Here is a 3151-nt window from a genome sequence, read left to right as displayed (position 1 = left end):
AAATCCAACTGGCTTAAAACGTACATGAAAATTCAGTTAGTGAAAAAGTAAAATTTGCTGTTAGGGTTGTAAAACAGTTGGGCTGTTTTCCAAGCAATTCCTTCCCTTTATTACTGTGAGTTGGAGGTTAGAGCACAAGGCCCTCAATCAAGAATTATTTGAAGGCCTCCAAAAGCCCTGCTGACCTCCAAGTATCTCCCCTGCTGGCTTTCCATGTGGCCTGAAATTTCTGTCACCTGGGTCAATTCTCAGGGATCAAGTATTTTCTCACTATTGGGGAGGCAGTGCCCCCTTTTAAAATGCAAATCTGGGAGGGATCCTGGGCCCATTAAGTGGGAACAATTGTCTGAGGAGCCACCACCTGCCCAAAGGCCCGCAATTCTGACAGCTCCTTCCCCAACCCCTTACCACCACTGAGATTGGACAATGTGTGCTTTAGGAAACAAAATTGAACAATGCATGCTCTAAGAAACTTCTTAGGTGAAGACACCATTTCAAGAAAGCTTATTTTCCGTGAATAAAATGGGGTGCATGAGGTCATTGCTGTTTTTACTTTGTAAACTGGGTGGCCTCTGAAAGCTTCTTTACAACACTTCAAAGGAAGCCTCCTCAACTCTTCCAGGCCCCCACCCCCTTTCCTTTGTTACCGCATTCTTACTGACCCCAAGGTTTTTCACTGAATGAAGAGTTTCCAAGGGGTCTAAAAAATACCTGGGACAATTAGAGAAATGAAAACCAGGGGGTCAAGATGAATCGACCCTTGGCAGAGGATTTACATAAATAGGTCCTAACCTCTGGCTGTGAATAAAAGATAAAATGCCCCACTGGGGTCAGAACTGCAGTTCAAGGGCATTTGCAGGGCCAAGCCTGGCTTCTCTGCTATGTCAGGAATTCCAGGAATGCCACTGATCATTGTGTGTTGGCAGGGCGCAGGAGGTTGCAGCCAGGCTAACAGAAACCCAGCCCTGCCCACTGGGTGAAACTGCAAGTCGAGAGCGTGGGAAACCAGCAAGTTGAGAGAGGATCCAGAAGTAACCCCTTCTAAAACGGGAAAGATGCCTTCCGAAAGGTGACCAAATTCTTGTTTTAGATGGTGGTGTTAATTTGGGAGGTTGGAAGGGAGGCAGGTGGGAGAAGGGACATGTCCCTTTCGAAGAGCCCCTTTGTTTCTTCTGTGGAGCACAGCTCTGTGGGAGGCATCTGCTCTTTACCTATAGACCGGATGGCCTGGTACTGGTCTTCTCTAGACTGAAGGTCCTCCACCAGGTCTCCTGCTGCTGCTACCTAAGAAAGAAATCTCACAAGGGTGTTAAAAGGTAATTTCCAGAAAGAGGTAAAATCGTGACCGTTATACAGATATAAAAACGAACATGTGTTAAAGACTTTATTTTACTTACATAACTGAGAGAGCCAGGCAGATGTTATAACTGGTTTAAAAAAGAAACAGCCCCAATTTATGTGGAGTAAAGGAATTTAGAGATGAATTGCAAATGGAAGCAAACTGTTTATTGCCCCCCACCCCGCCCCCGCCGCCACACACACAGGGGGAAGGAAGTCAATTGAACCAGATAGGACAGGATTTGCATATCTATCAGTGACCTACAACTTAGGGAGTGGCAAATAGCTCCAGTAGAATCAGAATCAGATAACGCCTGAAAGCACGTACTACAGGCAATAGTTTTCTATTGAAGTGTGAATTTACAGGGGCAAGAAATTTTGCTTTCTGAATTTTTTTTTTTTTTGAGACAATGTTTCACTCTGTCACCCAGGCTGGAGTGCAGTGGCGCGATCTCGGCTCACTGCAACCTCTGCCTCCCGGGTTCAAGCAATTCTCTTGCCTTGGCCTCCCAAGTAGCTGGGGTTACAGGCATGTGCCACCACGCCCGGCTAATTTTTGTATTTTTAGTGGAGATGGGGTTTCTCCATGTTGGTCAGGCTGGTCTCAAACTTCTGGCTTCACATGCTTTTTTAACCCAAGAGAGTGAGATGAACTTGAGAATCTTTGGTCAAAGTTGCCCCCCAAACCTCCACAATATTCTACCTTACTTTATTTCCCTGTCACATCAAAATGCATACAATCGTGGTTGATTTGTTTCTCGGTGATTTGAGAAGGATTACAAAGAGGCTGTCTTGACCTTGTCATCTTGTTCTTTTCTCTCTTACAGCACTTGGCCCTAAAGAGAAAACACTAGGAGGATGGGAACCAGGGACAGAGAAGCTACTTGCTCTGCAGCTGTTTGGGCCAGTATGTTCCCTAATCTTGATGGCCATCCTGGGCTTATTTTCCTGAGAGTCTCTAAGTGACTCACTGCATCACGTAAAACTAAGAAAAAGGATGTCCTGAATTTTCCTGCTTAGAGAGCTTGTTTTTCTTTCCTGTTGCATCAAAGGGGTCTGTTAAACTTTCTAAAAGTACTAATCTGACCTGATATCTGAAGTAACAGATAGGAATTTGGGCTCTTTAAATGGAGCCCTTCCCCCATACCTGCATCTCATTGAAGAGGCTGAACTTCAAAACAAAATCATGTTGGAGAATTAAGTCTCGTTCCCAGATTTAATTTCTTATTTTTATATTGTTGCATAAGAAATCTACTCTATAAGGCATCTATTTTCAAATTTGGAAAATCTTATTTTAAGTTCATTTATTTAAAGACCAACAAACAAAAACACCAAATTCACTAGCCCAGGTCTTTATGGACCACCATCTCCCCTCCCCGCCTCCATTTCTCCCTGGAGTAGTGATTGTGGGGCCACTGCATGAATTTTACTCTATTATTTATCTAATGAGCAAAGCCAAGGCTGGCAATGCTGAGAATGCATGAGGGAAAAAAAGATATCACAATGACAGCACACTCTGCAGCGTTCCATCCAAAAGCAAGTAAGTGACTCACTGTTCTGTAAAGCACAGGGCAGATTCTTATACGGAAAAACTACCCTCAGAAGTGCATGTGAGACCCTAGTCTGTGTAAAGGAATTTACTCTGGGTTTTCTTCACATTGGCACTCAGGTATGCGGGTGTGGGTTCACAGACATTCCTTTCTGACTCATTACCCACTTTGCCCCTGCTCCCCGCCCCCTTAGTGCTTGAGGCACTTTTTCCAGCCTCCCCTGGGCTGGGGCAGAGATTGATGGTATCTTGGCACTCTCCAAA

At 44.7% G+C, this 3151-nt stretch overlaps 1 long non-coding RNA gene across 1 annotated transcript, besides 1 other annotated feature; it reads left to right on the top strand.

Moving 5' to 3' along the window:
- Positions 475–1674: an enhancer, noted in NCBI's record as "BRD4-independent group 4 enhancer chrX:46186381-46187580 (GRCh37/hg19 assembly coordinates)". NCBI's record gives its function as "activates an origin of replication core promoter dependent on BRD2, P300/CBP, MED14 and CDK7 cofactors, and independent of BRD4, by STARR-seq in HCT116 cells {active_cell/tissue: HCT116}" and the evidence as "EXISTENCE:reporter gene assay evidence [ECO:0000049][PMID:35650434]".
- Positions 946–2696, top strand: LINC01186 (long intergenic non-protein coding RNA 1186). Its single transcript, NR_110388.1, has 2 exons — positions 946–1069; positions 2166–2696. It is a non-coding gene; the product is annotated as a long intergenic non-protein coding RNA 1186 (long non-coding RNA).
- The last annotated feature ends 455 nt before the right edge of the window (positions 2697–3151 follow it).

This window comes from Homo sapiens, chromosome X (assembly GCF_000001405.40).
Source record: "Homo sapiens chromosome X, GRCh38.p14 Primary Assembly".
Lineage (NCBI taxonomy): Eukaryota > Metazoa > Chordata > Mammalia > Primates > Hominidae > Homo > Homo sapiens.
The sequence above is the reverse complement of the archived record's forward strand: the minus strand, read 5'-3'. Positions and strand labels throughout refer to the sequence as shown.